At 39.0% G+C, this 13,226-nt stretch overlaps 2 protein-coding genes across 34 annotated transcripts in view, besides 3 other annotated features; one reads left to right on the forward strand and one right to left on the reverse strand.

The window, feature by feature from the left end:
- The window catches only part of ORC4 (origin recognition complex subunit 4), a 91,156-nt gene extending 80,458 nt beyond the window's left edge, over positions 1-10,698 (reverse strand). For 6 of the 10 annotated variants that reach the window (NM_001190881.3, NM_001190882.3, NM_181741.4 and 3 more), the window contains exon 1: positions 9,780-9,884. The gene's annotated coding sequence lies outside the window, so the exon portion shown is untranslated. Of the gene's footprint in view, positions 1-9,754; positions 9,885-10,594 lie in introns of those variants that run through there. The other 4 variants (NM_002552.5, XM_011511255.3, NM_001374270.1 and 1 more) reach the window with 2 other exon arrangements.
- Positions 9,529-10,126: an enhancer, noted in NCBI's record as "H3K27ac hESC enhancer chr2:148777951-148778548 (GRCh37/hg19 assembly coordinates)". NCBI's record gives its function as "activates a minimal SCP1, AML or CMV promoter by ChIP-STARR-seq in naive H9 embryonic stem cells {active_cell/tissue: H9 hESC(naive)}" and the evidence as "EXISTENCE:reporter gene assay evidence [ECO:0000049][PMID:30033119]".
- Positions 9,796-9,955: a silencer, noted in NCBI's record as "silent region_11998". NCBI's record gives its function as "represses an Ori minimal core promoter by ATAC-STARR-seq in GM12878 lymphoblastoid cells {active_cell/tissue: GM12878}" and the evidence as "EXISTENCE:reporter gene assay evidence [ECO:0000049][PMID:35858748]".
- The window catches only part of MBD5 (methyl-CpG binding domain protein 5), a 496,045-nt gene continuing 492,892 nt past the window's right edge, over positions 10,074-13,226 (forward strand). For 18 of the 24 annotated variants that reach the window (XM_047445058.1, XM_047445074.1, XM_047445079.1 and 15 more), the window contains exon 1: positions 10,238-10,831. The gene's annotated coding sequence lies outside the window, so the exon portion shown is untranslated. Of the gene's footprint in view, positions 10,194-10,237; positions 10,832-13,226 lie in introns of those variants that run through there. The other 6 variants (XM_047445056.1, XM_011511472.3, NM_018328.5 and 3 more) reach the window with 5 other exon arrangements.
- Positions 10,306-10,405: an enhancer, noted in NCBI's record as "active region_16614". NCBI's record gives its function as "activates an Ori minimal core promoter by ATAC-STARR-seq in GM12878 lymphoblastoid cells {active_cell/tissue: GM12878}" and the evidence as "EXISTENCE:reporter gene assay evidence [ECO:0000049][PMID:35858748]".

Consider the following 13,226-nt stretch of genomic DNA (forward strand, 5'->3'; position numbering starts at 1 on the left):
TTTTTTTTTTTTTTTTTTGAGACAGAGTCTCACTCTGTTGCCCAGGTGATCTGCAACCTCCACCTACTGGGTTCAAGCGATTCTCCTGCCTCAGCCTCCAGATTAGCTGGGATTACAGGCATAAGCCACCATGCCCAGCTAATTTTTGTATTTTTTGTAGAGATGGGGTTTCACCATGTCGGCCAGGCTGGTCTCAAACTCCTGGCTTCAAGAGATCTGCCTGCCTCAGCCTCCCAAAGTTCTGGGATTACTGGCGTGAGCTACCATGCCTGGCCCCAGATTTATTCTGATACCAAAACCAGACAACGATACAACAACAACAAAAAAGAAACTACAGGCCAGTATCTCTGATGAAAATAGATATAAAAATCTTCAACAAAACACAGCAAACCAAATTCAACAGCACATTAAAAAGATCATCATAATCAAGTGGGATTCATCCCAGGGATGTAAGGATGGTTCAACATATGTAAATCAATCAGTGTGATACATGGTATCAACAGAATGAAGGACACAAAGTGTATTGTCATTTCAATAGATGCCAAAAAAATCTTTTTTGATAAAATTCAATATCCCTTCATAAAAACTCTCAGCAAACTGGGGACAGAAGGATCATCCCTCAACATGATAAAGCCATACACAACAAACCCACAGTTAGTATCAGACTGAATGGGGGAAAAACTGAAAGCCTTTATTCTAGGATCTAGAAGAAGGATGGGCACTTTCACCACTATTACTCAAGTTAGTAACAGAAGTCCTAGCCAGAGTAAACAGACAAGAGAATGAAATAAAGGGCATTTAAATTGGAAAGGAGTAAGTAAAATTATCATTGTTTGCAGCTCATGTGATCTTATACTAACCTAAAGACTCCAACAAACGACTATTAGAACTAATAAATTCAGTAACATTGCAGAATACAAAATCAACACACAAAAATCCATAGAATTTCTCTATGCCAACAGTGACAACCTATCTGAAAAAGAAATCAAGAAGGTGATCCCATTTACAATAGCTACAAATAATATTAAATATCTAGAAATAAACTTAACCAACTACAATGCAAACTATCAAACATTGATGAAATTAATTGAAGAGGACACAAACAAATGAAAAGACATCCCATGCTCATGGGTTGAAAAAAATTGTATTGTTAAAATGACAATACTTCCCACAGCAATCTACAGATTCAAAGCCATCCCTATCAAGAGCAATGACATTCTTCACAGAAATAGAAAAAAAAAATCCTAAAATTGTATGGAAGCACAAAAGACCCCAAATAGCCAAAACAATCCTGACCAAAAAGAACAGAGCTGGTAACTGGTAGACTTACCACACTACCAAACCTCAAAATATACTACAACGCTATAGTAACCAAAATAGCACGATAGTGGCATAAAAACAGACATGTAGAACAACAGAACAGAGAGTCCAGAAATTAATCTGTGTATTTAAAGCCAATTAGTTTTTTACTAAGGTGCCAAAAACACTCATTGGGAAAGGACAGTCTCTTCAATAAATGGTGTTGGGAAAACTGGATGCCCACATTCAGAACAACAAAAGTAGACCCCAACTCTTGCCATATACAAAAATCAAAGAAAAATGCATTAAAGACTTACATCTATGAAACTAATCAAGGAAACCATTAGGCAAAAACTCCAGGACATTGGTCTAGGCAAAGACTTCTTAAATAAGACCTCAAAAACACAAGCAACTAAAGCAAGAAAATAAAATAAAATAACAACAAATGAGATCTCTCCAAGCCAAAAAGCTTCTGCACAGCAATGAAAACAATAAAATGAAGATATAACATGTAGAATGGGAGAAAATATTTCAAACTAATATCTGACAAAGGATTAATAACCAGAATATATAAGAATCTCAAACGACTCAATAGGAAAAAAAAATCTGATTTTAAAATGGGCAAAAGATCTGAGGAGACATTTCTCAAAAAGACATACAAATGGCAAACAGGCATATGAAAAAAATGTTCCACATTATTAATAATCAGAGAAATACAAATCAAAACTATAATGAGGTATCAACTCACTCCAGTTAAAATGGCTTTTATCGAAAAGGCAGTCAATATCAGATGCTGGTGAGAATGTGGAGAAAGGGGAACCCTTGTACACTGTTGGTGGAAATGTAAACTGGCACAGTCACAACAGAGAACAGTATGGAGCTTCCTAAAAACACAACAAATAGAACTATAATCCAGCAATCCCACTACTGTGTATATACCCAAGAGAAAGGAAATCAGTATATAAAAGGTATCTGTACTCCCATGTTAACTGCAGCACTATACACAATAGCCAGGATATGGAATCAACCTAACTGTCAATCAATGGATGGATAAAGAAATGTGGTACATATACACAATGGAATGTTATTCAGCCATAAAAAAAAAATGAAATCCTGTCATTTTCAACAATATGGATGTGACTGACATTATAAGGGAAATAAGCCAGGCATAGAAAGACAAGTATCACATGTTCTCACCCATATGTGGAAGCTTCAAAAAAATTGAAGTCATAGAGATAGTGAGTAAAAAGATGTTAGCAGAGGCTGGGAAGGGTAGTGTTGAGAGGAGAATCAAGAGGAGATGGTTAATGGGTAGAAAAATATAGTTAGATAGAAGGAATAAAATATAGTGTTCAGTAGCACAATATAGTAATTACAGCTAACAATAATTTAGTGTATGTTTTAGAACAATTAAATGAGTGGAAATGAAATGTCCCTAACACAAAGAAATGACAAATACTTGAGGTAATGGATATCCCAATTACCTGATTTGATCATTACACATTGTATGCTTATATCAAATATCACATACTCCCCATTTTATGTATCCATAGTAATTAAAAATTAAAATTTTTAAATATATGAGTTAAGTTAAAAAAATTTTGGCTCAAAGCATAAATATATTAAAATCAAATCTCAGAAGTAAAAAAGAAAGACAATTAGGGTTTTATTTATGGTAGTGGCAGACAGGACCAACCTTTCTGCTGACGCCAACAAAAAAACTAAATAATGAATGAAATAAAGTAATGTGAAATTACTTACCAAATTCCATGTGAAGGTAAACCAGAAACAAACCATACACCAAGTAACTTTTGTTCTGAGGACATTTTCCTGTCTAGAAGAAAAGGCTGAGAAAAAAGGCTGAGCTAATGGAAGATGTGCCGGTCTATGGTAAAAAAATCAAAGCACAAGGCCAGGTGTGGTGGCTCATGCCTGTAATCCTATCCTTTGACAGGCCAAGGCAGGAGGATAGCTTGAGCCCAGGAATTCAGGATGATTGTGTGCAATACAGCGAGACCTCATTTAAAATAAAAATAAACACAAAAAATCAAAATCAAAAATAAAAATAAAAGCACATTGCCTAACAAAGCTGGGGACTCAGATAAACTACCCAATTTATGTTCAGAGTTTAAGGACAACATCATTAGGATAAGAGGAAATTGAAGGAAAATAGAATTCATGATCTTAAAGTCTTCCTTAATGTCATGTGTATAACAGAAGGAATCCCAACTCTTGAACATGAATAGTGACTTGGGACTGAAAGCACTCCTAGAGACCTTTCCTAGAAAAATGTACCTTCTTAAAAAAGATACTATTATTCTAGGACTCATATATTCCTATAATTTTTTAAATACAACTGGTACTCAAGGCACACAAGAAAAAAATATCATAAGCTAGCAGACACAGACTTAGAAAATTTAGAAACTGGAATTATCTTCAACAAACAACAAATGAACTATGAATATAGTCGGCCCTTCATAGCCACAGATTCACTCAACCAAGGATTAAAAATACATGTATATTTTTAAAAACACGACTATAAAAAATAATAGAAATTTTTAAAAAGCCATGACAGTATAACAATATTTACATAGCATCTACATTGTATTAGGTACCATAAGCAATCTAGAGATTATTTAAAATACGTGGGAGGATGTGTGTAGGCCGTATGCAAACATGATGGCATGTTATATAAGGAATTTGAGCTGCCTGTGGATTGTGGTATCTGCACGGGGTTCTGAAACCAATTTCCAGCAGATACTAAGGAGCAACTATACTAGGCCAATAAAAGCAAGATTGTAATTTTCAGCAGGTAACCAGAAACAGTAAGAATATCACCAATATCTTTAAAAAGATACTGATGCATTGATCTAATAATCTCGATGAATACAGGGCAAGATAAAGAATGCCACACGATGATTGAACATTTCCTCTACCCCCACAACCACACTTGACTAGGAGAAAAAAAAAAAAGAAGAAAAGAATTCCACACAAAAAGATTAGAGTGAAACAGCAGAAAAATTACAACCAAAAAAAGAAACAAACAAAAAAAAATTCTAAAAGAGAGATTTCCTTCAAAGCAGCATGAATTATTAGGTTGGTACAAAATTAATTGTGGTTTTTGCATTGTTGGAATTTGCCATTTGATATTGGAATTTTTTTTTTTTTTTTTTTTTTTTTGAGATGGAGTCTCTCTCTGTTGCCCAGGCTGGGCTGCAGTGGCGCGATCTCGGCTCACTGCAAGCTCTGCCTCCAGGGTTCACACCATTCTCCTGCCTCAGCCTTCTGAGTAGCTGGGACTACAGGCACCCGCCACCACGCCTGGCTAATTTTTTGTATTTTTAGTAGAGACAGGGTCTCACCATGTTAGCCAGGATGGTATCGATCTCCTGACCTCGTGATCCGCCCACCTCAGCCTCCCAAAGTGCTGGGATTACAGGTGTGAGCCACCACACCCGGCCTGGAATACATTCTTAAATAAATGTGGTTATGTTATATGTCATTTTAATGGGCATTTCTTGCTTTTTTTTTTTGGCTAATGACTTATTACTTGCTGTTTATATTTATTTTGGACTATGGAAATGATGCTAGACAAAAAGCAAAGTTGAGTGATTTTCTTATTTAAGTTCAAAGTGGGTCGTAAAACAGCAGAGACAACTTGCAATATCAACAATGCATTTGGCCCAGGAACTGCTAATGAACGTACAGTGCAGTGGTGGTTCAAGAAGTTTTGCAAAAGATACCAGAGCCTTGAGGATGAGGAGTGTAGTGGCAGGCCACTGGAAGTTGACAACAACCAATTGAGAGCAATCATTGAAGCAGATTGATCCTCTTACAATTACATGAGAAGTTGCTGAAGAACTCAACGTAAGAACTCAACGTCAACCATTCCACAGTTGTTCAGTATTTGAAGCAAATTGAAAAGGTGAAAAAGCTCGATAAGTGGGTGCCTCACCAGCTGAGCAAAAATTTAAAAAAACACCGTTTTGAAGTGTTGTCTTCTCTTATTCTCCACAACAACGAACCATTTCTCAATCGGACTGTGAGGTGCAACAAAAACTAGATTTTATATGACAAGCAATGACCAGCTCAGTGGCTGGACCGCGAAGAAGCTCCAAAGCACTTCCCAAAGCCAAACTTGCACCAAAAAAGGCCATGGTAACTGTTTGCTGGTCTGCTGCCGGTCTGATCCACTACAGCTTTCTGAATCCTGGAGAAACCATTACATCTGAGAAGTATGCTCAGCAAATCAATGAGATGCACTTAAAACTGTGATGCCTGCAGCCAGCATGGGTCAACAGAAAGGGCCCAATTCTCCACAGTAACACCCAACCGCACACTGCACAACCAACACTTCAAAAGTTGAACGAACTGGGCTACAAAGTTTTGCCTCATCTGCCATATTCACCTGACCTCTCAACTGACTACCACTCCTTCAAGCATCTCTACAACTTTTTTCAGGGAAAATGCTTCCACAACCAGCAGGATGCAGGAAAAAGCTTTCCAAGAGTTTGTGGAATCCTGAAGCATGGATTTTTACATTACAGGAAAAAACAAACTTATTTCTTGTCGGCAAAAATGTGTTGATTGTAATGACCTATTTTAATTAATAAAGATATGTTAGAGCCTCGTTATAATGATTTAAAATTCGCTGTCCCAAACCACAATTTCTTTTGTACCAACCTAATGCATTGACAGCTGATTTCTCAAAATCAATAATGAAAACCAAAAACAGTGAAATGTTATCTTCAAGGTACAAGTAAAACAACCACAAATCTGTAATATCCCCCAAAACATTCTTCAAGATTGAAGGCAAAACAAAAAATTAAGACAAAGCAAAAAAATTAAGAGAACTGACCATCAGAATGTCTGCATTATGAAACTTCTACTGAGTGTGCTAAAGTAAAAGTTAAAAGATTCCAAAAGAAAAGTCAGAGACGCAGGAAGAAATTAAGACATGGTAAACACATAGGAACATCTAGCTCAAAGTACTGTCCAGCAGCAATACAGTAAAAGTGACATAAGTAATTTAAAATTTTCTATTGTTCACACTAAAAGAAAACAAGGTGAAATCAATTATAATTTCAACATGTAATCATAATGAAAAGCTGAGGTATTTTACATTGTTTTCATACTGTCTTTGAAATATGGTGTTTATACAACATTACAATGCAGATGCTAAATTAAAACTGCCATATAAAATACTTGATCTATATTTTTATATAATTTGCAGCTAATGCCGGGTGCAGTGGCTCACGTCTGTGATCCCATCACTTTGGAAGCCCAAGGTGGGTGGATCACTTGAGGTCAGGAGTTTGAGACCAGCCTAGCCAAAATGGTGAAACTTTGCCTCTACTAGAAATAAAAACATTAGCCAGGTGTGGTGGCACATGCTTGTAATCCCAGCTACTAGGGAGGCTGAGGCAGGAGAATCACTTGAACTTGGGAGGCGGAGGTTGCAGTGAGCCAAGATCATGCCACTGGACTCCAGCCTGGGCAACAGAGCGAGACTCCATCTCCAGGGGGGAAAAAATCTCCAAAAATTAAAAAATAATAATTTAATAATTTGCGGTTAAGAAAGGTTTATGTATCCGAGTTGTTCCAAACATACAGGTTTTACAGTAACTGAATCAAGTGTCAGTTTTTAAACTTAATTGAACACTAAATAAAACTAAAAATTCAGTTCCTCAGTCATACTAGCCACATTTCAAGTGCTCAAAAGCCACACGCAGCTAGTAGCTACTGCAATGAATAGCACAAGCATAGAACTTGTTATCTGGAGTTTAAACTACGTATACAATTCAAAGAACAATGACAGCCTATAAGACCTACATGAAGATAAAAGTTGCCATCCCAGAAGAGAGTAATGCTCCAAGCACAGAGAAGATATTGGCCATACTGCTAGAAATCCCTGAGTAAAACAGACAACCCAATTAAAACAAAAAACAAACAAACAAAAAAACCTCCCAAAAAGATTTAAAAAGACAATGCACAAAAGATTTAAGAATTAAAAAGACAATTCTAGAAAGAGGAAATTCAAATAGCCGGTAAGTTTTTGAAAAAGTGCTCAAACTCTTTAGTGTCCTGGGCAGAATAAATTAAAACAACAATAAGATAAAGCCACATTCATCAAGTTGGGAAAAAGGAAAAATAACTCTTGGTGAGACAGTAAAAGTAAAGGGATCTACCATATACTGCTGTCGGGGTATACATTGGTGTATCTACTTTGGAAAAGGCATAACTAGTGAAGTTGAAGATAAACATACGTACTCTACAAAAACCCATGGTAATGTACATTAAGAATACATGTACAAGAACATTCATAATAGCATTGTTCATAACTACTAAAAACGGAACACAATCCAAATGTTTATTAATATTAGACTAAACTGTGGCTCATTTCCATTAAGACTTTTTATACTATACTTATTATACTATAGATTACTACAATCCAATATAAGAACTAGAGCTAAATGTACTAATAGAGTTATATCCCAGCTGCATGAGAGAAAAAGATACATAATGATATGTAATATATAATCCACTTACATACAATTAAGAAACAGGCAAAACGAACCTAAATTGCTTAGGAATGCTGACATAGGTGGTTAAGAAATACTAAGAAAGAAAGCAGTAAATGATTGCCATAAAAATCAGTATAGTGTTAACCACTGAAAAGAATTGAGGAAAGGGATGATCAGGAATAGAATGGAGAGGGGAGCTTCTCAGGTGCCACAGACGTTCTAGTTCTTGACTGTGGCAGCGCTTACATAGAGTTCACACTTTATAGTTTTTCATTATACTATGTATCGATGTTTGTATGCTTAAATACTAAATGTATGGAAAAAGACACAAAATATTTAAAATTGTAGCTAAGGCACATTAACTGCCTTGCTGGTATTTTTTTTTTTCATTACAAAGTGGCAGACAATTGGTTACACTATAAAGACAGACAATTGGTTACACTACAAAGAAAATTTTAAAGCACAGGAGTCTAGTTTTGATTCCATCGGACATGATTACCGTACACAATACAGAAGATACTAAGGGCTAAGCAATGATGCATAAACGGGGTCCACTGCCCAAACTTACAGAAAGCAAAACGTGGAAAATTAGTAACTTTAACTGATAGTGTACACCTAAAGAACCTACACCGGCCGGGCGCGGTGGCTCACGCCTGTAATCCCAGCACTTTGGGAGGCCGAGGCGGGAGGATCATTTGAGGTCAAGAGATCGAGACCAGCCTGACCAACATGGTGAAACCCCGTCCCTACTGAAAACACAAAAAAATTAGCCAGGCGTGGTGGCACATGCCTGTAGTTTCAGCTACTCGGGAGGGTGAGGCAGGAGAACTGCTTGAACCCAGGAGACAGAGGTTGCAGTGAGCCGAGATCGCGCCACTGCACTCGTCTGGGAGACAGAGCGAGACTCCGTCTCAAAACAAAAAACAAACAAAAAGAACCCACCCAACAGAATTAAGTACCAACATAATAAATACGAAGAATTTTAGATTCTTGGTTTTTAAAAAACATACAAAGATGATATTCCTTCAAAATATCTTTACAAAACATATTGAGACTGTGATGCTTTATATTGATTGTATGAAAACAATGAAAAAGAACCAGCACTGTTTCACTATAAAAGCTTTACTAATGTAAATTTATAAATCCTTTCTTAAATATTTTGAGTTAATTCTAATTTTATGATAGAAATTCATTATTTTCAGCAAAAACAGCTGGCATTTGGGAAACCAAAGGCTCAAAAACTAAGAATAGTAACCAAAGAAACTTGACAAAACAGTCCTTTTAAAACTCTCATCTACACTATAAGGGGAAACTTTGATCACGTCCCTTCTCCTTCATCAATCGTAGAACTCAACATTAAGGACTACACAATCCCACATCCCTCTCCGAGAAAAAGCAAAGGCTTTGTGTTGTAGCAACAACGCAAGACATGGAGGGAAGCTCCACTCAAGACTTCCCTGCCTGCTCCTTCCCCAAAGCCACTCCAGAATACCAGGGAGGGTTGAGAGGTAAGGCATGAAGGGCGCAATATCCAATATGAGCAACGCGTGTGATGCATCTGGTCAAAATGCATACAGAGGACTTGTCTCTGTCCCTAGATAGAAGTCCTCCGTCCTGCAGTCATGAGGGTCAATTGCTGAGGCTTCACAGTTCCCTTCTCTCTTACACTCGGACCGTCACGCTCCTCACCTACTACCCCGATGCAGAGGTAGACTCAGGATCCCTGCACTTGTCAAGGATTCCTCGGCAAGCTCACGGGGCGGGAGTGGCCACAAGACGGAGCTCGCCTGGTCCTGGCCTTCCCGGCCTATACAAGCCTGCCCCCTTCCCAATTCCCAATCTCCACAGCCTTCCATCCTCCCACTTTCGATTCACCTTGCGCCACCGACGCCCCTGGCCTTCGTTTGCAGCAAGTTTACCCCCACCATTACCTCTCGCATAAAAGCCTGCATTTACCAGGTCAAAGAGGGGAACCAACGCCTGCAGGAATCGCTTCACCGAATCGCCTGGCCGCGTCCTCTGCTAGACTTCACCTGCCGCTGCGGACCGTACACAACCACTCCCGGCATGCCCCGCGCACGCACTACCTCTCCCACCCCGCCCCTCTCCCGCCCAAACACGTGACCTCCTTTCGTCTCCGTCCACGCCCACTTCCGTTCCTCCACTTTCCCTTAGGAAGGAGGAGGGAGCTGGGGGTGTTAAAAGCGTAGCGACTTCCTCCTCCTCCCCGCCCCCGCTCCTGTACCTCCCGCTACAATGTCTTCCGGGTCGCTAGCGCCTCGACGCCTTCTGGGAAAATAGCTCATTTCCTCCCCTCCCCCTCCTCCTGCCTTCAACCAACCAGCCACCCGTCAGAGAGGGACATGCGCAGTGAGTGCCTCCCGTCTCTTCTACCCGAACCCCCCCTCCCCCCCAAGCAGAGAGACCCCAGCAGCAGCAGCAGCTGATGATGAAGAGAGAGGCAGTGGCAGAGGGGGGGCACCTTTTATTTCTATTTTTAAAGGGACAGGACACTAATTCTACCCCACTTCAACCTTGAATTCAGGGGGGTGGGGGGAAGGCGGCTGAGTTCCTTCCCCCACCCTCCAGCCCTGAGCCCTGAGAGGGGGATTGAGCCTGAGAGAGGAGAAGGAGTTTCTTCTTCTTCGAAAACCCCCATCCACGACTCCTACCCCCTCACCCCTCCAACTCGCCTCCCTCCCTCCACCCTCCTCCTCTTTGGCCGTGAGAGGAGGAGAGAAAGAAACCAAAAGCCTCTTAGCAACACAGACCCTTTGCTGCTGCTGTTGCTGCTGCTGCTGCTGTTGCTGCTGCTGCTGCTACTGCTGCTGCTGCTACTGCTGCTGCTTGGCCCTGGCTGGAGACATCTCACTACACCCAGGAGCAGCCACTTCCCCAGCTCTCCTCCTCCTCCTTCGCCTCCTCCTCCTCCACTCCCCCCCTTTATTACCCTTTGTGTCATCCTCCACAGCTCCAGGGAAGGCACTCAAAAGTGGGGGGCAGGAAAGGTAAGTGTGTCTGTGGGGGCTTCATTGCCTTCCTCTGGCTCTGACTTTCACTCCGGGGCAACAGTAGCACCAAACCACATACGCAGTGGAGCTCCGGGGTGAGGAGGGGGTGGTGCTGGGGGGGGTGAAGGAGGGGTTGGAGTAGGGAGGGGTGTGTGAGGTGGGGTGCCCATCCTGTCAGGGGAGGAAGGGCACTTTTATTTTTATTTGCTGTTGTCAAAAGTGGTTTCTCTCCTCCATCTAACATCTGATTGTGTCTTGCTCCAGTGGGGGAGAATACAAAAACAACCCCCTCCTTCCTCCAATGAGGCGCCAGGGAAAGAGACAGAAAGAGGCACACTTTCTAGATGTCACTTAAAAAAAATTCATTGGAGAGCTCTTTTTCTCCAGGAAAAGCTCCACTGCATTTGTTTCTGAGTGGGAAAATGTCGGGATCTGGATTGTATTGGAACTGCTTATCCATTTGTAGACCTGAGTGTTTTCCCCTTTTTGGTCCTGTATGAGATTTGGATATTGACTTCAGTGTTGGAAGACTTGATTGGTTTTTGCTTTAAGGGTTTCATTTTCCATTTTTTCGTTTTGTCTGACTTCCATGGAAAATTTCAAATTTTTAGTTGGTAGAGGCCTTTGGTTAGGTTTTGACTTGCATTATTGCTTTTTTTTTGGTTAAATGTCTGTTTCATATATCAGTATATAAAGTCCAAAGCTCTAAAATGCTTAAAGTTTAAATGCCACTGCTATTGTCTGTTCCCACATACGTTCCTGATACTTATTTTCCATATGATGAGAATATTAGCTATTTTATAATTAATCTGGGTATATTTGTAATCTTTGTAACTTGTCTGAACAAGTAATCCCCATTGAAAACTTTATGTTGTTCTGGCTGCATGGAAGGCCAAACCTCTCCATCAATAGTTTGCTGGATTGGTACCACTTTCAGTTTTAGCTGAATTATTTATTTACTGTTGTAAATTGAGATGAGTTTTTCATCTCAATTTCTCTTGGGGTTCTGAACCAAATTGCCCACTGTATGTAAAAGTACACAAATTTCTAAAATATGTTTTCATGAGTCAAAGAAATCATGAACTTATAGTTAGTATATTAATTTCAGTTAGCTATAAATTGAAAGGTAAATCCAGATTTAAGTTTATGGAATAACAATATTGATAAAAATCACTTCATTTTTGTATAATGTGTTCTTAGTGCATAGCTTTAAAATTCAGTGCTGTATTTTATTTCACAAATGTTAGAAAGTATGTTTCTGATGTAGGCCTTTTACTAGGGCTTATATTGGAAAGTGTTATTTTGTTTCATATATACATTTCTTTATTCTTTCCTTGAAGATGGATGCACACATGCATATACACACACTCTCTTTCGCTCGCTCTCTCTCCCTCACACCCTTTTTTTTTTTTTTGTAACTGCATTGGTATCTCTGATCCCATAATTTATGTCAGCAAAAAATATTCTTCTGTAAAGCAGCAATTTTGTGATCAGACTGGCAATATGAAAACAGCAATTTGATCAACTAGAAAGGATTGAAGAAATATAAATCTAGAAGGATATTTGGCAAAAATATTATAAAGACATGATAATACTTCTAATTTTTTATTTTCTTGATGGTTAAAGCTAAAACATATATTTTAGTGACAGTGAAGCATTGCATATGTAGAAACTTGTTCTGTAAAATTTTAATTATCAACTGTGTGCAAAAGTAGACATTTACATACCGAAATAAAAAAGCTTTATAGCAGTAAACAATATGATCTTATTTCCCTTCTGTTATAAATTTGAACAATTTTTTACCTTTCTCTGAGATGTAATTAGTGCACTTAAGCAGAAATCTGTGCCAAGTTCAAGTTTTTCTCCCAACATCAATACTGCCATTCCAAGTCCTTGTAAGGTTTCTTGTTCTCACCTTAAAACCTCAGCAACTTTAAAGGTAAGAGAGAGACAGTAGAACTTACTGAAGAAATTAATTTTAGGTAAGGGAATTATGTAGATAATTGGGGTGGTAGTTGCCCAGTAGGCAGCTGAGTAAAAATTTAGTCTTGAGTTTAATGTCTTTCCTTATTTTGTTTCTTTTTTTTTTTTAAACATTTTTTTATCACACCCCTCACCCTCACCCCCATGATCCTTTATGGTTAGAAGATTGCAGACTTTATCTAAGTTGGATAATGATTTATGTTTAGAAAACCTTTTTAAGTATTAAGAACCATTGATACTTTAGGATTGTAATTGTTCAACTGGGTGGTATCTTGGAGGTCACTTTATCCAACTCTACCTATTGCTGAAGTTCTAAGAACTTGAACTTGCCTGAGGTTCCAAGGCCTGGAAGTGACAGAGCAGGGACCAGGGAACTCAGGTCTCCTGATGCTCACTATGCTGCACTACC

This window comes from Homo sapiens, chromosome 2, assembly GCF_000001405.40.
Source record: "Homo sapiens chromosome 2, GRCh38.p14 Primary Assembly".
NCBI classification, from domain to species: Eukaryota; Metazoa; Chordata; class Mammalia; order Primates; family Hominidae; genus Homo; species Homo sapiens.